This window comes from Homo sapiens, chromosome 15 (assembly GCF_000001405.40).
Source record: "Homo sapiens chromosome 15, GRCh38.p14 Primary Assembly".
Classification (NCBI taxonomy): Eukaryota; Metazoa; Chordata; class Mammalia; order Primates; family Hominidae; genus Homo; species Homo sapiens.
This window is the reverse complement of record NC_000015.10, coordinates 31,642,722-31,665,584: the sequence shown is the minus strand read 5'-3', so window position 1 is coordinate 31,665,584 and position 22,863 is coordinate 31,642,722. Positions and strand designations below refer to the sequence as shown.

General features: G+C 42.4%; 1 protein-coding gene across 3 annotated transcripts in view; it reads left to right on the top strand.

Annotated features, from left to right (window-relative positions):
• OTUD7A (OTU deubiquitinase 7A) overlaps window positions 1–22,863 on the top strand; it is a 395,276-nt gene that overhangs the window by 205,089 nt on the left and 167,324 nt on the right. For all 3 annotated transcript variants that reach the window (NM_001382637.1, NM_130901.3, NM_001329907.2), the window contains 2 exons: window positions 8,508–8,602; window positions 10,335–10,489. In NM_001382637.1, coding sequence (NP_001369566.1) covers window positions 10,339–10,489 — 151 coding nt within the window. In that variant the 5' untranslated portion in view covers window positions 8,508–8,602; window positions 10,335–10,338. The remainder of the gene's footprint in view (window positions 1–8,507; window positions 8,603–10,334; window positions 10,490–22,863) is intronic.

Sequence of the window (22,863 nt, the reverse complement as noted above, 5' to 3'; positions counted from 1 at the left end):
CCTTGAAAACCCTAAAGACTCCTCCAGAAAGCTCCTAGAACTGATGAAAGAATTCAGCAAAGTTTCTGGATACAAGATTAATGTACACAAATTGGTAGCTCTTCTATACACCAGGAGAGACCAAGCAGAGAATCAAATCAATAACTCAACCGTTTTTATAACAGCTGCAAAAATAAAATCAAATACTTAGGAATATACCTAACCAAGGAGATGAAAGACCTCTACAAGGAAAACTACAGAACACTGGTGAAAGAAATCATAGATGACACAAACAATTGGGAACACATCCCATGCTCATGGATGGGTAGAATCAATATTGAGAAAATGACCATACTGCCAAAAGCAATCTACAAATTCAGTGCAATCCCCATCAAAATACTGCCATCATTCTTCACAGAATTAGAAACAGCAATTCTAAAATTCGTATGGAACCAAAAAAAGAGCCTGCATAGCCAAAGTAAGACTAAGCAAAAAGAACAAATTTGGAGGCATCACACTACCTGCTTTCAAACTATACTATAAGGCCGTAGTCACCAAAACAGCGTGGTACTGGTATAAAAATAGGCACATAGAGCAATGGAAAACAATAGAGAACCCAGAAATACACCCAAATACTTACAGCCAACTGATCTTTGACAAAGCAAACAAAAACATAAAGTAGGGAAAGGATGCCCTTTTGAGCAAACGATGCTGGGATAATTGGCTGGCCACATGTAGGAGAATGGAACAGGATCCTCATCTCTCACTTTATACAAAAATCAACTCAAGAGGGATTAATGACTTATATCTAAGACCTGAAACTATAAAAGTTCTAGAAGATAACATTGGAAAACCCCTTGTAGACATTGGCTTAGTCAAGGATTTCACGAGCAAGAACCCAAAAGCAAATGCAATAAAAACAAAGATAAATAGCTGGGACTTAATTAAACTAAAGAGCTTTTGCATGGTAAAAGGAACAGCCAGCAGAGTAAACAGATACCCCACAGAGTGGGAGAAAATCTTCACAATCTATACATCTGACAAAGGACTAATATCCAGAATCTACCACAAACTCAAATCAGTAAGAAAAAAAAATCCCATCAAAAAGTGGGCTAAGGATATGAATAGACAGTTCTCAAAAGAAGATATACAAATGGCCAACAAACATGAAAAAATGCTCAAATCTCTAATGGTCAGGGAAATGGAAATCAAAACCACAATGTAATACCACCTTACTCCTGCAAGAATGGCCGTAATAAAAAAAAAAAATCAACAAACAGTAGATGTTGGCATGGATGTGGTGAACAGGGAATGTTCTGGTGGGAATGTAAACTAGTGCAGCCACTATGGAAAACAGTGTGGAGACTCCTTAAAGAACTAAAAGTAGAGCTACCATTTGATCCAGCAATCCCACTACTTGGTATCTACCCAGAGGAAAAGAAATCATTATACGAAGAAGATACTTGCACACGCATGTTTGTAGCAGCACAGTTCACAATTGCAAAATCATGGGACCAACCCAAATGCCATCAATCAATGAGTGGATAAAGAAACTATAGTATATTTATACAATGGAATACTAGTTGGCCATAAAAAGAAATGAATTAACATCATTTGCAGTGACCTGGATGAGACTGGAGACTATTATTCTAAGTGAAGTAACTCAGGAATGGAAAACCAAACATCGTATGTTCTCACTGATATGTGGGAGCTAAGCTATGAGGACGCAAAGGCATAAGAATGATACAATGGACTTTGGGGACTTGGGGGGAAGGATGGGAGGGGAGCAAAGGATAAAAGACTGCAAATAGGGTTCTGTGTGTACTGCTCAGGTGATGGGTGCACCAAAATCTCAAAAATCGCCACTGAAGAACTTACTCATGTAACCAAACACCACCTGTACCCCAATAACTTATGGAAAAATAAAAATTTTTTAAAGAAAATGTGGTACATATACATCATGGAATACTATGCAGCCATAAAAAGGAAACAGATCATGTCCTTTGCAGGGACATGGTTGGAACTGAAAGCCATTATCCTCAGCAAACTAACACAGGAACAGAAAACCAAACACCACATGTTCTCACTTATAAGTGAGAGCTGAACAATGAGAACACATGGACACAGGGAGGGGAACAACACACCCTGGGGCCTGTCGGGGGGTGGGGGGGATGGTGAGCATCAGGATAAATAATGCATGCAGGGCTTAATACCCAGGTGATGGGTTGATAGGTACAACAAACCACCATGGCACACGTTTACCTATGTAACAAACCTGCACATCCTGCACATGTATCCTGGAACTTTAAATTTTTAAAAACTTGTGTGTGTGTGTGTGTGTGTGTGTGTGTGTGTGTGTTTAGCCCAAGACCCCACACCCAGCATCTTTTTCAGTGTGGAAACACCAAAGTTATTTCCACTAAAGTTAGGAGCAAAGCAAAGATGCCCATAACATCTCATAGTATGTAATATTATATTGAATGCATTAATCAAGGAAATCGGACAGGATTTGGCAATAGAGGGATACTCCATCTCAAAAAAAAAAAGAGTTAACACAAACTATATTTGCATTTGATATGATTGTGTATCTGGAAAACTAAAAAAAACTGAAAATTTGCTATAAATTGTAAGAACTTAGTAAAATAGCAAGATATAAATTTAGCACACAGAAATCAATAGCTTTGATTTGAGCAGGATAAATTGAAAGAGTAACTGTGTAATATGCTATCATTCCTGATTTTATTAGGAACTAGGATTTGGTGTGGGAAGGAGGTTCATCTGTAAAAGAGATTAGGTTAAGTAAAAACTCCTAAGTCTTCAATTTGAATTGGAAATATTAGAATGAACTCAAAATTTGTTTTTAAAACAAACATATTTCTTAGCTGTCCAAGAAGTCCTGTAAACAATGACTAAACCACTAGTTATGGGTACACCAAGCATTCAGATTGTGGTCTTGAAAAACCATTCTCAATAAAAAAGACTCATAGTTCTTTGGAGAAATGTTGAATTCTAGATCCGGAACAGTAAATGTAGAAAAGGGACCTGAAACATTTTGTCACACAAGATATGTAGAAAAGACTCTATCAGCTACACTAGTGTCAAGGGAACTTGATTCAGGACTTAAGCATCAATAAAGACAACAACTGCTCTATATTGGATAGATTGAAATGCATAAAATATGTTTAAATCGACGAATGCAAAATATTTCAAAAAAAGAAGTAACAAATTGATCCCGTGGAAGGAAGCTAGTGAACCAACTTGTCCAAGTAAAATGATGAATTAAAAGGTCATAAATAAAGCATCTATCTTGCCTTTTCTATTAGGTGTCTACCACTGGGTGACCAAATAGTAGATTAGTAGAAATTTCCCTTTAAGAATTCCAGCTAATAAATAAAGAATGAATAAAAGAATTATGCTGCCAGTATACGCAACCCCTCTTGAATTGCTGGGTCTAGGCAATGATCATCAGTGGCTGCGACCATCACAGGCAGAGACAGATACTCAGTGCCAACTGATGGAAGAAGACAGCACCAAAGTGTGCCCCAAATTGAATCTGAATCTGATCGAGTCTTACATCCCAGTGCTGATTTACATGAAATAGAGAGGACAGAGGAGCATGTGACATGGCACCATAGGAGCAATCAGTAAAAGCCAGATGATAGAAAACTCTAGAGAAAAATATATATATAAGATTTTTCAACAAACAGAGGGAAAAAGACGGAGGCAAAATCTGTAGATTAAAAAAGACATATCAACCAATTACAATAAGAGATCTTACTTGAATTCTGATTCAAACAAACTGAAAAAGTAAATATGTGAACTTACAACATTTGATATCATTGGAAATTTGCACACTGGATATTGCACTGAAGAATTTTTGTTATTTTTAGGTGGGATTATGGTACTGTGGTTATGTTTTAAAGAGTCTTAGAGAGAGATGGAAGTAGTTGTGGATGAAATAATGTGTTATCTGGAATTTGCTTCAAAATTATGTGAGCAGGAGAAGGGTTGGAGATAGAGAAGAAGCATGGTTGGCTAAGAATTGATGATTGTCATGCCTGAGGCATGGGTACATTGGCTTTAATATCCTTTTCTGTCTACTTTTATACATATTTAAATTTTTATTAGAAAAATATTTTTAAAATATATACCATCAGGTAATTCTGTGTTCTCCTTGTTAGCCTAAAAATCTAAGCTCAAGAGTAGAGAGACTGGAATGTTGAGGTGCCATTTACAATTTCTAGTGCCCCACTTTCTCCTGTCAGTTAAACTACTGTTTAACTCGTATTAAGAACCATTGAAGAATTTGATATGTCATTGATGAGTATATCATTTCAATGCATGTAAGACAAAACCCCAGTAGATCCTACACTTACTGCTATTCCCAAAGTTATACATTTTAGGAGAGACTTTTCTTCCATCTTTCCATACTAGGAGAAAATTATGAAAAAGTATAATAAGTGAGTGTCAACTAAGGAATTGTTTTGCTTCCAATCATGCATCTATGCACGTATTTTATTTTAAAGGCACCAGATGCTCTGAGAGCTGGCACAAGGCCCAGTCATGGCCCCTGAACAGAAGGCATGTCTCCTTCCCATTGGGCCCATTGGGTGTCCAGCCCGCGGCACCTGCTGGACAAGTGAAATGGGCTCAAAGCCCACACATGTGCCTTCTCCGAGCCTCAGGTACAAGTGGTGTGTCCCAGCACTGCCCACTGTTGCTGCTGGAGCCTTCCTCAGTTCCTACAAGACAATGTGTTTGAGAATATCAGCTTCAACAAGGGGAAAACTAAAGAGTGAAATGATCCTGCAACAATGCGAAGAACTTCAATGTGCCCCACAGACATTCCTATAGCCACTTTTGATTTTCACACAGCCCTATCTGTCGCTGTCTGGCCAAACTTCTCTTCTTATTCCTCAGAAAGAAGCACCTTTCCTCTCCTCACCCAGGGCTTTTTACATTGAATTTCCTGGAGAACTTGCTTCATCACAGTCCAAATTACTCTTAGACTCATCTTTATCTCTAGCTGGTGTTGTGGAGGTTATGTAAGTAATATACGTGGCCAAGCTTTGGAAATGATAATGTGCTCTACGCATATGAATGTTTGGCAGAACCAACCTTCCCAGAACTCATGCCCCCGCACTGAAAGACACTGGGCTTTCTTAATTTTCATCTAAACCGTGAAGATGCTCTGGAAGATGTGTTTCCCTAATGTGGCATCCACAGAAGCCTTTCTGCCCTAGTGCACCACGCTTGCCCAAGGTCACAATGGCGTCTGGCAAGGGATGGGCCACACAGGCTCTTGGAATGTTGACATCTGAGTTGAGACATCCAATTCATTTCACCACGGGAGCCCAGGCATCTGATCTTCTTACCAGGGTGGGCTTCCTCGCCAGGCCGGACAAGATGAACGCATGCCTGACCTTTTTTCATATTTAACCATTCACCCCCTTAACAGGGATGTATAAATGTATGGGTAGTCAAGGGTGGATTCTCAATACCAGAACAGTACATTTGCCTATTGTTTTAATCTATGTCAATGGTAATAATAGTAATAGTGCATGTTCTTTCAGTGTCATCTCACTGTATCCTTACTGCAATTCTAAGAGGCAGGGTTGTTCTCACCCTCATTGCTCAGATGTGACAACCAAGGCTTCAAGAAATGAAGTAGCCTTTCCAGGGTTGCAGGGGCTTTGCACCCAGCCAGGCCATCAGCTCCCAAGCCTGTGCTCGACCCCAGATCTGTTCATCCACCCCTCTGTTCCCTTATCCCTGTGTTCAGTGTGCTGTATCATCAAACAGACCTGATGAGAGCGAGCTCCCACTCCCCACTCACTTGTGTGCCCCTTCCCGTGGCCCTCGCTGGCCCTCTCTGAGGTCAGGCTCTCTGGCTGTGATGGGTGTTCACTGGGCTGCCTCCCAACCACCTGCCTCCCAGGCAGCAGCTTTGAGCTCATGCCAGGGCCTGGCAGCCCTGCAGAGCCAGGGGCAAAGGAAAAATGGTCATGCCAACCTTGCCTTCATTTAAAAGGCTGACATTTTGTTCCTCAAAGATATTTTTGCGCTAATTTTTATTTTTGCAAATATAGCACTAAAATGTTGTTTATGTCGATTCCTGAGTGTTTTTGCACCCTCTTAGATTCTGCAGCAGTGGCAGGTGCCTCCTCGCCTCACCTTAGAGTTGGCCCTGCTGTGTGCCAGGCACTGTGAGCAGGAGGATAGAAAGGAGGATGAAGTGGATCCCAGCTCTCAGGCAGCTGGCCCTCTGTTAAGACAGATGTTAAAAGCATTCACTACCCTGTTTGCTGTCCTGAGAGTGAAGAGTAACCTCCAGGCACTCATTCACCCATAGTCTTCCTGTACCTGTCCCCAGGGATCAGACCACAAGCCTCTGCCATCATCTCCCAGTCTCATTCTCCATCTACCCGTTTTATTGCCTTCCAGTGTCCAGTTATAACATCTACAAATATAATGCAGCAGTGTTTTATTTGAGCTTCATTGAAACAGAAGTTTTAATTTTATTTTATTTATTTATTTATTTATTTATTTATTTATTTATTTATTCATTCATTCATTCATTCATTCATTCATTCATGCCCAGGCTGGAGTGCAATGGCGCGATCTCAGCTCACTGTAACCTCCACCTCTCAGGTTCAAGCAATTCTCCTGCCTCAGCCTCCCAAGTAGCTGGGATTACAGGTGCCTGCCACCACACCTGGCTTTTTTTTTTTTTTTTAATTAGTAGAGACGGGGTTTCACCATGTTGGCCAGGCTGCCCTTGAACTCCAGACCTCAGGTGATCTACGAGCCTCGGCCTCCCAAAGTGCTGGGATTACAGGTGTAAGCCACCGCACCTGGCCAAAACAGAAGTTAATGAAAAATGGATCCTGAGGTAGTTTGGTCTTTATCCTGCTACACCTCTGTCTTGCAATTTTACTCTCTCTGGTTGGACCACTTCCTCCACTAAGTGTCTTCCAAATCCAGCAGTTGGTCTCTGAGACCTGTATGTGTGTGTCTGTCCCTTTCTGCTTACTGGGGAGATCCTGGGAAGGCTCAGGGGGCTCATAGTTCCCACAGAGTCCCTGCAGTCATGGCCTGAACAGAGTAGCAGCTCCATGAAGGTTGCTTAAGTGATCAATGAACACTGCAACCTCGGATACGGGAAAGAAGACGGAATTGAAGGCAGGAGCCCCCACCAGTTTAACCCTCTGTGATTCCAAGCCAAGGCACTAGAGGTAGGCCCCTTATTCCTGCCTTCAGCAAGCTGGTGGAAGCAGTTTTCTTGCTCAGTGGAGACCTGGGAAGGCAAGGGTGGTCTCAGGGTCCCTGTTGAGAGTTCATTCATTGGCTCATAATTAATGTATATTGAGCATGTACTATGGGCCAGTACATTTTGTGCATGAGTTCCTTAAAATTTCATAATAACTGTGAGATACAATTATTATTATAATTGTATTGATGAGGAAACTGAGGCACAGAGAGGCGATATAACATGCCCAAGGTCACACAAAGTGGTGGAACCATTTTGGCCCCAGAGACTGATTCCAGGGCCAACGCTCTGTCCCCACACGGCACTGCCCCTCCTAAGGCAGTCACCATGCATTGATGGGACACATTACTCTCCCTGGGGTGGCTGATGAGACCTTCAGAGACATTCTGTCCAAGGGCTAGGATGCACTGAGGAGAACAGGAATGCAGGGCCAGGGCACGGCCACCCAGAGCCTCATGCTGTTCAAAGCGGCTGAGTGAGTGCTTTAGACCACACAAGGCAGGTTGAGAGGCACAGTGCATGCTTGGGAGGATGGCACGGAGCAGTGGGTGAGGATGGCCCAGGTAGCTGGGGTCAAATGTCCCCACCAGCCCAGTCCCTCCCATATCATCATGGGACATGAATGTGAGGGTGTGGTGATGGTGGCAGTGTGAGGTTTAAGAAATACATCTGGAAAGCTGGGTGTGGTGGCTCACGCCTGCAATCCCAGCACTCTGGGAGGCTGAGGTGAGCGGATCACAAGGTCAGGAGATCGAGACCATCCTAGCTAACATGGTGAAACCCTGTCTCTACTAAAAATACAAAAAAAAAATTAGCTGGGCATGGTGGTGGGCGCCTGTACTCCCAGCTACTCAGGAGGCTGAGGCAAGGAGGATGGCATGAACCCGGGAGGCGGAGCTTCCAGTGAGCCGAGATCGCGCCACTGCACTCCAGCCTGGGCGACAGAGCAAGACTCTGTCTCAAAAAAAAAAAGAAAAAGGAAAAGGAAAAAACAGCTCTGTGCTGTGCAAGTAATCCTCACTGAAATAGATGTGCTTGCTAAAACGAGGAAAGCTGAGACAGCCCCTGGCCAGGCCCGGGCATGGGAGTTGCTGGTCAGCTGGTAAGCGGGGACCTGTAGGGCCCAGGAAGACAGAGTACATGCCTCAGGCAATTGGCCAAGGCCAAGATCCAGCCTCCTGTGACAAAAAGCCAAGCCTTCGGCCTCAGTCTGAGAGTAAGGAGATCACATGCTCTTGTTCTCTGATCTGTCCCCCAGGTGGCAGTGACGAAAGAAGAGACTCTCCCGGCCGAGGCCCCAGTGCATGGAGAGAAGGAAGAAATCAATTTCCTAATTGGTACCATATACATCAGGTCAAATAATTTTCTTCTTTTCTGGCCGCATCAACTAAAAATTGTACCCAATAGGAGCTGTGTGCAAGACGGGGTGGTCACAGTGAATGTCTCTGAGGGTACAGACCTCCCTGCCTGAGACCCTCAGTCCTCAGGGTCTTGCACGTTAGGTGAGCTCATTTCCTGCATTCCTACAGAAAATCAGGAGGGCTCAGAGAGGTGAAGCCCATGTCACAGCTGGACAGGGGCAGGGCCAGGGTCAAATCAGGCTATGTGCCTGGCTCTAAAGCATGGGCCACTGACACAGGACCTACTCCACCAAGCAGCACCCATCCCAGTGGGTTACTGTGAAAGAAAGAACAGAGGACAGTCATCAATAGCATGGGATTCAAACTCACCCCACAATATGTAAAATTAATTACATACTTCCTAGCATAAAATTTTCCATTGCCTGTAATGGGGTCTGCAAGCTTTTTCCATAAAGTTCCAGGAAGTACATCTTTTCAATTTTGTGGACCTTAAGGGTCTCTGTTTTAACTACTCAACTCAGCCAGGTGCAAAAGCAGCCACAGACGCTATGCAAATGAGTGGGTATGGCTGTGTTCCCATAAAACTTCATTTACAAAAATGGGTGGCAGACCACATGTGGCCCATGGTCTATAACTTGCAGACCTCTTATCTACACAAACACAAGGATGCATTTGCACTCCACCGGCAAAGATTGAGCACCCACTGGGGCCCCAGCACCATTCACTAGTGTAAGTTACTCTCACTTGTAATGTCACAGTTGCTTTTCCCCAGCAGTCAGCTGCTACAGTCAGCCTGGGTCAAGCTGCTGTACATCCATTCTATTTCTCTGGCTGGGATCATGCTGCCTGGGAAATCTGACATTCTTAAGAATGTTGTTGGATTGATGGCAGCTCTTAGAGGGATGGTAGATAGTTCAGTAGCCATCTTCAGCAAGTGTGGTATTTCCGTCAACTGTGGATTAACCTTGGCTATTAGTCTTTCCTAATAGCCAAGTAAGGGGTGAGAGCTGAGGGGGTAGGATGGCACACTGATAAAGGCATAATTGGAATAGAGTGGGTAACATTCATCACATTGTGGAAGTATTACAAGTCTATACAATTCGGAAGAGGATTAGAAATCTAGCAACTCCAACTGAATTTTTCTAGGTATACTTAGGTGTTTGAAATTTTAAAATAGTCTTTTTTCCTCATCAGTTATTGGAATTAATAAAATGTAAGTTCAGGAGTGCTGGAGATAGTGATGACCCCTTGCCTTAGTCTATCTGGGCTGCTATGTCAAAATACAATAGCTTGGGAGGCTTATGAACAACAGAAATGTATTCCACACAGTACTAAAGGCTGGGAAGTCTAAGATCAGGGAACCAGCAGATTTGGTGTCTAGTAAGGGCCCATTTCCTGCTTCATAGATGGCACTGTCTTTCTCCATCACCTTGGAGATTAGATATCAACATATGAATTTTGGGAGGGAACACAAACATTTGGCTCATAATACCCCTTCTCTCACATGGCATGTACACAGGGATGAAATTTTAGTTAGCATTCTATAATATAATGTCTTGCATGAAGAATCAGGCAGTTGGACCAAACCAATTCTAAAAAATATGACAGCAGGTGGAAATGGCTCCACCCTCGAGGGTTCTCTCGCTCAGGTCTCTGCATGTAGTTGTCACTTGCAGCTCCATTTCCATCACGTGGTAAAATGCCCTTTCTCTTCTTTCCTGCAGATGGATGGTTTCTAGTGTGCTTCCAAACCCCACCTCGGCTGAGTGTTGGGCAGCACTTCTACATGATCCTATGACTCTTGATATGGACGCAGTCCTGTCAGACTTTGTTCGGTCCACGGGGGCAGAACCTGGTCTGGCCAGAGACCTGCTGGAAGGTAAGCCCACCTCCTTGTTCCCCACACCACCATTCTGGGCATAACCACCTTCCAAATAAGAAGATTTCCAATACCTGATGACAGTGGTACTTGAGCACTAAGTGGGCTTTGCTTTGTGTTACATCTTACCGATATTAAGTCAAAATTTTATCACTAATTATTATATTTAAGAAAATATGTTCAATGGAGCAGAAATTATAAAACATTCAAGAAAATACTTTTGTGGTAGGCCTTAGTTTCATATCTCTGTGTTAGCGGAGACGAAAATACTCTAGGCCAGGGTTTTTGGTGGAAAAAGCACCTACTATCCAGGAAAGCCACTGGGAGTAATTCACAAGCAAGAAGACAGCCTTCATCCTCCAGCTTTTCACGTAGATACCATTTGCTGCATGAGAAATTGCATCCTCCGTATGTATGATGTTTTCAGATATGTATTCAGCCATAACCATAGTGAACTAAAATGAAAGTGTAGTTTCTATGTCTCTAAAATGGATTTACCTTTCTTTTTTTTTTCTGATGGCGGCAGTGGTATGTAAAGGTGGGAGGGACCAGTTACAACTTCTCAGGACAGTCAGCTGTGTGAGAGGAGAGAACTTTGTAATGTTTACTCTTTACTTCAAATGTATAAACTGCAATTTGTGGAGTTAGTAAATACTTGGTCAAGAATTGTAAGTCACAATGATTCTTTAAGTCACTTAGGGAAAATAAGAATTATTGTACATTTGCAGAAGTGGAGAGAACTATTCAATCATATTGAAAATTAAGAACCACCTACTGGAGGATTATCAAAAAATGGCAATGGCAAAAGCATAGTTTTTAAATTTTCCCCAACCTATTAGAATTTCAAACCAACTCCAAGTTTAGAATAAAATATGCTGAGAGTTTTTGCAATCTATGGAAATCAAAATATGATTCTCCCTTCCTGCTATTTATATTATATAATGTCTCCCTGTCAGTTTCCATTATTTTCATTAAGTGGGCAGCAGAGTGGAGAAGCAGGCTTGGAATAAGGTCGGCAGTGAAATCCGAGTTTGAGTTCAGATTCAGCCACTTATCAACTATGAGATATAGGACAAATTATTTTACTTCCCTTACCCTGAGATTTCTTCTATGTTGAGCTTAACCCACCTTACAAGGTGACTGTGAATATTAGAAGTTGTGATATAAAATGTGTGGTAAAGAAGCAGCATGTAGCAGATGCTCAAAAAAGTATAGAAGACCATGCTTGTGGTGGCCATTATTGTAATTAGTACTAACATCAGTATTAATGTCTAGACAGCCTTATAGGAAGCAAGAGTTGTCATCTCTTTTCTTTATTTTTTTTACTTATATTTTTCACATTAAGATACAGAAAAATTGAGTTTTTTGTGTCTAGTTCTATGAACTTTAACACATGTATGGATTTGTGTTATTACTACCACATTCAGGACACAGAAGCACTTCATCCCCTCCAGATTCTCTGTCCTGATGTCTTTTATAATCAGACCCTCCCCTACCCCAACCACTGGCAGTCAGTGCTCTGTTTTCTATCACTAGTTTTGTCTCTTTGCAAGAATGTCAGATAAATGTCCTACAGAGCCTAATCTTCTGAAACTGGCTCCTTTTCATGCAGGGAGATCATTTTGAGACTCATCAAGTCATGTGTCAGTAGCCGGTTCCTTTTTGTTGCTGAGTAGTATTCCATTCTGCAGGTACTCCAGAATTTCTCCACTCATCTGTCCAGGGGCATTTCAGTTGTTTTCCATTTTTGGCAGTTACAACTAGAGCTTCTAGAAACATTTAAGAACAGGATTTTGTGAATATAGTTTTAATTTTTCTTTGTTTTTTCTTTTTTTTTTTTGGTGACACAGAGTCTCACTCTAGCCCAGGCTGGAGTGCAGTGGCGCTATCTCGGCTCATTGCAACCTCCGCCTCCTGGGTCCCAGTTCAAGCAATTTTCCTGCCTCAGCCTCCTGAGTAGCTGTGATTACAGCCGCGCATCACCATGCCCAGCTAATTTTTGTATTTTTAGTAGAGACGGGATTTCAACATATTGGCCAGGCTGGTCTTGAGCTCCTGACCTCGTGATCTGCCCGCCTCAGCCTCCCAAAGGGCTGGGATTATAGGTGTGAGCCACTGTGCCTGGCCTAGTTTTAATTTTTCTAGGCTAAATACATGTTAACCTTGTAAGAAACTGCCAACCTGTTTTCCAGAGTTCTGTACCACTTTGCATTCCTACCAGCAGTGCCTGAGAGCTCCAGCTGCCCCACATCCTTGTCAACACTTGGTATTTCTTCCTTTTTTGTTTTTTCATTTTAACCATTTGATAGCTGTGTGATGGTATTTCTTCATGGTTTTAATTTTCATTTTCCTAATAATTAATGACGTTGAAAATTTTCATGCTGTTTATTTTCCATCTTTTTATTCTCTTTCGTGAAATGTCTGTTCAGGCTTTTTGCCTATGTCTAAATTGAGTTGTTTGATTGAGTTTTAAGAGTTCTTTACATATTCTGAATATAAATCTTTTGTTCAGATTTGTGATTTGTGAATATCTTCTCCCAATCTGTGCTTGACTTTTCAGTCTCTTAACAGGGCCTTTTACAGGGCACAGTTTTAAATTCTGATGCGTTCCAACTGACTTTTTTCTGAGGATCATGCTTTGAGTGACATATCTGAGAAATTTTGCATAACTCCAGGTCATGAAGATTTTCTTGTAGTTGGTCTTTTAAAAGTTTTATACTTTCATGTTTTACATTTAGATCTATGATCCATTTGAGATGATTTTTGTATAATATGTGAGATTTAGGTCCAGATTCAGTTTTATGCATACGGATATCCAATTGTTTCAACATCATTTATAGAAAATATCCTCCTTCTTTCATTGAAATTGAATTGCCTTTGCAATTTGACGAAAAGCCAACTGAGGGTATTTGTAAGGAATATATTTCTGGACAGTGGTTCTGTTCCATTGATCATTATGTCTGTTCTTTTATCAACATTGTGCCATATTGATTTCTGTAGCTTTGTAATGAGTCTTAAAATCAGATAGTGTGATTTTTCTAAATTTATTCTTCTTTTTCAGGAGTGTTTCAGCTATTCTTTTTTTTTTTTTTTTTGCCTTTCTATGTGAACTTTAGGATCTGCTTACCTCTATCTACTCTAAACTGTTTTGCTGAGATTTTGTCTACAATTTTAGTAAATCTACAACTCAATCCTATGTTATGTCTTTCAGTCCATGAAGGAGTGCCATAATTTCCATTTGCTTGGGCCTCCATTAAGTTCTTTCGTCAACATTTTATGGTTTTTGGCATGTAGATCCTATACATGTTTTGTTCTATGTGTATTGGGGGGCGGGGTTGTAAACTATTGTACATGGTATTTTTTATTTCAGTTTCTACTTGTTCATTGGCAATATACAGAAATATAACTGATTTTTGTGTGTTGATCTTGCATCCTGCAATCTTGCTAAAGCTAAACTCAGTTTGTTCTAGGAGGGCTGTGTGTGTGTGTGTGTGTGTGTGTGTGTGTGTGTGTGTGTGTGTGTTCCTTGGGATTTTCTACATAGGTGATCATGTTATCTGTGAGTAAGGACAGTTTTATTTCTTCCTTTCCAGTCTCTAGGCCTTTCTGGTTTTCTTGTCTTATTTCACTGACGAAGACTATTCAAAAGGTTAAATAGTGGTGTTAAAAAAGAAGATCCTTGTGTTGTTCTTAATCTCTGAGAACAAGCAGTATTTCACCATTAAGTAGAATGTTGGCTATAGGTTTTAGTAGATGGTCTTTATCAGGTGAAGAAAATTTCTTTCTATTCCAAGTTTGCTGAGCGTTTTATAATAAATAGATACTGAATTTTTAAAATGAAGATCAAGTGGGTTTTTTGCTTTAAACTGTTGCTATACTAGATTAAACTGATTGCCTTCTAGTGGTAAACCAGACTTTCAGCTATTTCTTTCCATGTTTCTATGTTCTGCCCTTTTTTTCTTTCCTTCTGGGACTCAGATGATAGGAAGCTCGGCCCTTTTGTTATTACCTAAGGTCTCTATGGTTCTGTTCAAGGTTTTCAAGCTTTGTCTGTTATTCAGATTCAGTCATTTCTATTAATTTATTTATGAACTGACTGACTACTTCCTCCATCATCTTCATCCCAGTAGTGAGCCCAGCCAGTGTGTTTTCTATTTTTGTAGTTGATTTTTTTCATTTCTAATATTTCCACTTAGTTCTTCTTCATATCTTCCATTTCTTTGCAAAATTTTCTATATGTTTTAAGAGTACCCTCCTTTACTTGTACAATATTTTTAACAACTGCTTGAAAATCTTTGTCAAATAATTCCAGTATCTGTTTCATCTCAGAGTAGCTGTTGGCTTTTTGTATGCTGAGTATGGTTTCAGTATGCTGAATTGTATCCTAGACATTTTAAATACTATGTTTTGAGATTCTGGTTATTGTTAAAATCTTACAGTGAACATTATTAACTTTATTTTAGAAGATAATCACCCCAAATGGGTTCAGACCACAAATTCCAAGTTCCTGCAAGACTTGTGTGGATTGTGGTTGCTGTGAGTCTGTGAGATGTGGATCTGTCTGGCACAAGCGCCACCTAGTGGCCAGCCTGGGACTCTGGTGGTAATCTATCCCACATTTCAGCACTCAAAGTCTGTGTGGTCCGTGTAGGGTCGGATCCATACATGTAGAGCTCAAGGGTAAGCCCAAGAGTTCATGAGCAACTTTCAGGGGTTGCTCTCCCGAAGCCCTTCCTCATTGTAACCTGCCCAGTAGTGTCTGGGTCCCTGGGCTCTACCTTTTCAGCCCTCCAGCCAGCTTGGGTGGTTGAGGCTTGATTTACCCTACTCTCTGGTGCACTTGACTGAACCACGTCAGAGCTAAGCAGCGAGAAGCCAGAGAGAAAAAGCATGAAGGTTTCCCCACCCTCTGGGGACCTCAGACTCTCTGGTTGGAAAGGAAGTTTGCCTGGCCTGATGACTTTAATTATCTGCCATTTCTCACTAGGGCCACAAAATTTCTTGAGGTCTGGGGCACAGAGAAGAAAAAATTTTAGAAGAAAAAGAAAAAAAAAAAGGATAAATTAGAGATTTCCAGACTTTCTTAGAACGGTAGAGACCCCTTTCCTGCTTCTGTACCCGAGTTGGCTGGGCTTTTCCTGGAATTAGTGCCCACTCTGGGTTAGGAGCTGCATTGACTCCACACTGGGGAGACTGGAGGAAGGGAAGTGTCTCGCTCACCTCCAACTCTGTGGCACTTCCAACTGTGGTCTCCTTTCTGCATCAGCACCTCCAACTGTGATCCACCTTCCTGAGCCCGGTCGCTGCTGCCTGCACGCTGTCCAGGGGTCCCGGCTGCACCCAGTGGGACAGAGGGTGGCAGTGGTGAGTGCTCACTCACCTCACCCACTGCTGGGTCCTGCCTTTGGCTTTCACAGGTAAGAGGACTGTGGTTCCATTGTGTATGATGGATTATTTAAGGTGTCAAAGTTATTTGGGTGAAGATTTCTCTAAACCCAGTGTTTCAAAGAATGAAATATTTTTGTTGTAAGTCCTCAGAAAGATGTGTATTGGGAGGATGTCAGTAATGTAGGAATTTAGAGGGGAGATGTCTAAAGGGAAATAAATCCTCATGGTGGCAAAAGCTGAGCGGAAGGTACATGGTCCTCATTTGTAACTTCTTGTATTTTTATTTATTTCAAAAAAAAAGTTAAAAAAACACTGCAATGATGGGAATCACAGTACAGCAGAGGGAGGCCAATAAGAGAAAGGAGGAGCAGAGGCTGATCACAACCTTGGTAAACTGAGGCAAGTGAACACTGACCTGCCTCCAAACAGAAGAGGGTGGCCTTGCCTGTTCACCTGCTTCCTGTGTTACCAGATCAAAGTTGGGTCTGGCTCTCTGGCACAGCAAAGCCAAAAACTGGCGTCAAGACTGCAGTAAGAGAAAGTGAGACATTTATTTCAGGGCAGGAAGCCAGGAGAATTGGGCAGCTCATGTTTAAGCCCTGAATCCCCCAGTGCCATATAGGTAAGCGTTTTTACAGGCAGGAAGAGGCTGGGCGTGGTGGCTCATGCCTGTAATCCTAGCACTTTGGGAGGCCTAGGCTGGTGGATCACCTGAGGTCAGGAGTTCGAGACCAGCCTGGCTAACATGGTGAAACCCTGTCTCTCCTACAAATACAAAAATTAGCTGGGTGTGGTGGCATACACCTGTAATCCCAGCTACTCAGAAGGCTGAGGCAGGAGAATCGCTTAAACCCAGGAGGCGGAGGTTGTAGTGAGCTGAGATCGCACCATTACACTCCAGCCTGGAGACAGAGCGAGACTCCATCTTGAAAACATAATAATAATAAAATAAAGGCAGGGGGCAGAAGTTACAGGCAAAGATATAAATCAATACACGGAGGCTGTACATTGGTTTGACCTAAAAAGACAGGACATCTTGAACCAGATGTGGGGTGGAGGGCATAGGTCATAGGTAGATTTGAAGATTTTCTGATTTACAATGGGTTAAGGAGACGAAGCTTTGTCTGCAAATTTGTGATCAGGAGAAAAGAACGTTAGCTCTGGTCTCTGGGCATGACTTCCTCCAGGCCCCTCAGGAAGAAATTTAGAACAAAGAGTGGTGGTCCAAGCTCAGTCCTCAGTTTCCCCTGTCTGAGGTCTGCATGCCAGCAGATAGCACTTTTCATTTGTTGGTGTCCTGGTTTCTGGAAATCAGCTCAAGGACTTGTGTTAAAATGTTATCTTTAGTCTCTGTGGGAACTTTGATCTATTCTGTGACTTAAACTTCCCTGGCTATTGTTTTAAGTTATTCTTCCCTTCTTGCTTCAGTTGCTCATTTACTTCCCAGTGCTGGCTAGGTACCTGGAAATGCCTTTGAAGGAACTCAAGATTTCCTTTTATTTCCATGCTTGGGGGCAGGTGCCCGGCAGGCCCCTAAGAGGGGTCTCTGCTCCATCTCATCTTCATATCAGTCCCTTGCATGTCCCTGAAGTGGTTCTCCCAAACAAATTCAAGTCAGGTAACTCCATTTCCTCCAATTTTTCATACTCCGTCCCCATTACCTGCAAAATAAACTTCTCCACCTGGTACTCCAGCCCTTCAGCATCTAGTCCTATTCCGTCCCTCCCCTCATTACCTGAGGCATCTCTTCACCATCCCTTTCCCTGACTTGACACCCACCTCTGTGCTTCTGCCTCCGCCCATTGCTCCTGCTGCTCCTCCCCCTGCACACACTGCCTCCCTGTTGAAATTCAGCTCTCCCTCCACGATGGATCATGAACTCCCCGACAGCAAGGACCATACAAGGTTTTGTTCACTGTTTGCCCAACACCCAGCACGTATGAGTCCCTCAGTAGAGTGATCTATTAATAGCTGCTGAGGTGCAGTGATGAGCAGCCAGACAGAAATTGCCCACATGGAGACAGATGGAAATAAGTTATATAGTGTGTTAGCCATTAGTGCTGTGGAGATAACTAAGTCGGGGAGAAGGAAGCAGGTATGAGTGTGTACAGTTTTAAATTAGGGTTGTCAAGGAAGGCTTCACTTAAAAAAAATAGGATCTGAGCAAAGATTTGAGGAAGTGAGAAAGCAAGCCACGTGGATGTCTGGAGGAAGAAGTTTCTATGACGAGGTAAGGATTCACTGATAATTCCTTGCCCTCCTGTGGAACTTTGTGGACTTCTGCTGCAGCTTGTGTTTGGTTGTGCCTTATTTTATAATTCATCACATGCTTATCAAGCTGGATTTGCCCAGTCTTGAGCACATGCCACTGATTTAGCAGAATTCACGGCTCTGGCGTTTTCAAGTGTGTGCGATTAGAGGACTGCCATGGGCAAATCCCACACCCTTGAATGGGAACAAAAAGGTGGTCTAGGGACCATGAATCCTAAGCAGGAGTTAACACTCGACCACAAGGTGTGATGGCCCTTGGCCGGGGCTGGGACCATCAGTGGGTCTAGAAATACTGAAAGGAAACCGTTGGCTGCCCTTCCAAGTGTCCCGTTCCCACTAGAGAGAGCTCTGCCGTTAGACCAGACGTATTTGGGGAAAAAATGTCAAAAAAAATAAAAATAAACATCTCCAGATCAGAATTCTAAGATACTCCCTCTCGCCTGGCCTCATTCAGGAAGACACATTCTTCCTTTAGAGAGATGAGTGTATTTAAATACTCTTAAACAGACCCATTAAGACCATTTGCAGTGAGTTTCCTTGTGTCACGCTGATCAATTAAGTAGATCTTATTTCCTTCCTATTGGGGAAGCTTGTAACCCCCAGGTACCATCACTGGCCTATTTTGTTGGTTTTACTCAGAAGTCTGTGCCATTGTGGCTGCTTAAAATTAAACACTTTGGCCAGGCTTGGTGGCTCACGCCTGTAATCCCAGCACTTCGGGAGGCCAAGGCGGGCAGATCACGAGGTCAGGAGTTCGAGGCCAGCCTGACCAACATGGTGAAACCCTGTCTCTACTAAAAATACAAAAATTAGCCAGGCGTGGTGGTGCATACCTGTAATCCCAGCTACTCAAGAGGCTGAGGCAGGAGAATTGCTTGAACCCAGGAGGCAGAGGTTGCAGTGAGCCAAGATCACACCATTGTACTCCAGCCTGGGCAACAGAGTGAGACTCTGTCTCAAAAAAAAAAAACAAAAAAGAAAGAAAAAGAAAGAAGGAAAGAAAGGGAAAGGAAAGGAAGAGAGAGAGAGAAAGAGAGAAAGAAAGACACTTCCTCTCTGGAAAGCCAGCCGTATTCATCCCAGCGTCTTTCTTGGTGTCTGTGCATGGATAAAGCCTCCCCATTCCCCCGTGCCCCCCACCACTTTGTGTCCTTTCACTTTGCTTCACTTATGTGCCCACCACTCCAGGGCTCCCTGAGGTCCAGGAATTCCATGCCATTCCCTTTCACATGGCTGAGAGCCCCAGCCCTGTGGATGAGCTGTCCTGAGTGGGCACTCAGTAATGTGGGCGTAAGCTGAAGAGGGAAGGAGCAAAAAAACAACCAGAAGCCCTCAGATTCAGAGTCATGTCGTTAAACACTTTTTAAGATAAAAAATTGGCTGTGCGAACTGAAATCAATTTAAACTATTTTCTTTGATTAGGCAGGAAAGAGGAGGCTGCTGCATATTAAGAACTCCCACTTAAGCCAAACCTTCATGTTTCCAATCTCCAAGCAGGCGTTGAGGGCCTCTGGGCTGAGTGTGGGAGACCCAGGAAGAAAGAAGAGTAGGCCCTGCCTTCAAGGTCCTTCCTGCCTAAAGCAATCTATAGGCAGCTGTGTTCTAACAAAACTTTTATTTATAAAACAGGCAGCCAGCCAGCCTATGGGCAGTAGTTTGCCAACCTGTGCTGTAGATTAAAAAAGGCTTAAGAGATCTGTCAAACAGTGATAATGTATGCACATTATTTGAATACTGATTCCAACAAACTAAAAAAGAAAAATTATAAGACAATCTGGGAAATGTGAGCACTTAACATTTACTGGATATTTGATATTAAAGAATAACTACTTTTAGATATGATATTTTTATTATGATAGTGCTAAGAAAAATAAGATACATACTGACGTGGATGGATGAAGTAATATCATGCAGGGGTTTTCTGGGGACAGGCGAATGGGTGGGAGAGGAGATGAAACAATATTATCCATGAGTTGATTTTGATTAAACCTGGATAGTAGATGCAAACAGGTTTATTATAAGTGATGTACGAATGTTTCCATAATAAAAAGTTTTAAAACAGACAGCACCAGGAAACTTCCACTTCCAGCCAAGATGAAGTATCAGAATGTGGGTGTGCCCTCCTGCCTGAAAAAGAAAAAGACAAATATGATAAACAAGACACTGAACATTAGACAGTAAAGGACAGTAGTCCCCAAGAGATTGGAAACAAACAAGGTTAGTCCTGTAATTGCCCAGCTCACTGCCTTGAGAAAGTTTCTAATCCGTGGTACAGGGAGGGGGAACCCAGAGGAAGCTTGCCTGACTCCACAGTGGAAGGAGACAGAGCTTAGAGTCCCAGGAGTCCAGGAGGCTGGAGTCCACAGGTCAGAGCCTGAGAGCGGAGACAGCTACACAGAGAGAACTGCAGCGATTCACAGAGGGTTTGCCTCTGCCACTCAGCCAAGTGCCGATCAGTGCCTGTGTGTGAGGAAGCTGTGTGCAGCTGGGGAGAGAACCACCTGAGAGGATTAGAGGAAACAGTGCCTGGGGCTGATACAGAGCCATGGAAAGTGCCTGTGCTCACCAGCCAGGCTGGACAAGCACTGAATATAATACCTAGAAGGATCTTGCCTCAGTAATTGGGAATAATTAGCCCTGTAATGAAAACTTTTCTAGGGCTAGACACAGTAGCTCATACCTGTAATCCCAACACTTTGGGAGGCCAAGCCAGGAGGATCGCTTGAGGACAAGAGTTCAAGACCAGCCTGAACAACATAGCAAGACCTCTGTCTCTACAAAAATCTTCTAAAAATTAGCTGGGCATGGTGGCATATACCTGTGGTCCTGGCTACTCAGGAGGCTGAGTTGAGGAGATCACTTGAGCCCAAGAGTTCGAGGTTATGGTGAGCTATGATCACACTGCTGACTCCAGCCTAGGCAACACTAAGACCCTGACTCTAAAAAAATAAAAGTAAATAAATCACTCTGATCATACCTAATGAACCTTAAAAGCAAGAAGCAAGATCCACAAGGATCACAGTGAAATGGCCTCATTGCCTGATCCAAAGTTCTTGATCTCACAGCCAAGGAAGTCAAGGACACGGCCACACCAAGGGTGAGGTTAGAGCAGAAGCAGAAGTTTATTAGGCAAAAGAAAGATAACAGCTCTCTGCAGCAGAGAGGGATCCCCAAAAGCGTTGCCATTCAGCAGTGAAATGCAAGGGTTTTTATAAGCTAGCTAGTGGGGAGGTGAGGTGTTATCTTACCTACATAGGGTGTGAAAAACCCCAGGTGTGCCATCTGCGTAGAGCATGAATCTCTGGCATCCCCCACCCCACCCTTTTATTATACAGGCAGGTCTTTTGCCTGAGCTACTCCACGTTGCTTTCCTACTGTGTATGTGCTTCAAAGGGGGAGGTGGAGCCTCCATGGTGGACACACCTGGCCCCAGGTACCCCTTTCTGTCTGTGCAGCTGCAAGCATCCCCCCGTGCAAGCTCCAGCTTCCTTATCTGTTTGCAGCCCGGTCTTCCAGGCTGCTTTCTATTAGAAGAGGAGTGATTTCCTGGGCTGCTTTTTGTTAGAAGGGAAGTTCTGCCAAGGACTCTCTGCCCTAACTATCTGCCTAGCTGGTCTCTTTTTACCTCCTCTCTCAAAAGTATTTCCAAGAAATGTAACTTCATTCTACAACAAAGCTCAATAATATTTATAGAAATATAAACTTGTCCAGCACCAAATAATGTAAAAGTCTTGCTGTCTGGCACTCAATCAGAAGTTATCAGGAATGCAAAGTAGCAGGAACATAGGACCCATAATGAGGAGAAACTGTTCAATCAAAGTCAAACCAGAACTGCTAGAGATGTTAAAATTATCAGACAAGGGCACTAAAAGTTATTATAACTGTACTCTATAGAATAGAATAAGGTACATACTGACATGCTGTTCAGATGTTTAAGTAAAGTTATGGAAGATACTTTTTAAAGCCTGAGTTGAACTTCCAGAGATGAAGACTACATCTGAGATGAAAAAGTAACTCAGTGGAATTAACAGCACATTGCTTAATACAAAAAAAAGAGAAAGGTTAGTGAACATGAAGACATAGCAATGGAAAATATCCAAAATGAAACACAGAAAAAAATAGAAGTAAAGAAATATTAAAGGCATCAGTGAAAGCCAGGTGCAGTGGTGCATGCCCGCAATCCCAGCTACTTGGGAGGTTGAAGCAGAATTATTGCTTGAGCCCAGGAGTTTGAGGCTAGCCTGGGCTACATAATGAGACCCTCATCTCTAAAAAAGAAAAAATAATTAAAAATTAAAGCATCTGTGAGCTGTGGAAAAATGTAAGCAGCCTAAAATAAGTGTAATTGGAATCCTTGAAGGAGAGGCATGAACAATAGGAAAAAATGATTCAAGGAAACAGTACCTATAAGAAAATGTATAAGTTAAACACCTCTATTAGAAAAGAAGCAGGGCCTCAAATCAGTTACCTTAATTTTTATCTTGAAAACTAGAAAAAAAAAGAGCAAATTAAACCCAGACAGAAGAAATGAAATAATAAAGACCAGAACAAAAAACAGTGAAATAGTAAATGGAAAAATAGTAGAGAAAGTCAGTGAAACCAAAAGTGGGTTCTTTGAGATCAATAAAATTGATAAACCCATAGCCACATAATCAGAGGAAAAAGAAGATACAAATTAACAATATCAAGAATGAAAGAGATGACCTCAGTACAGA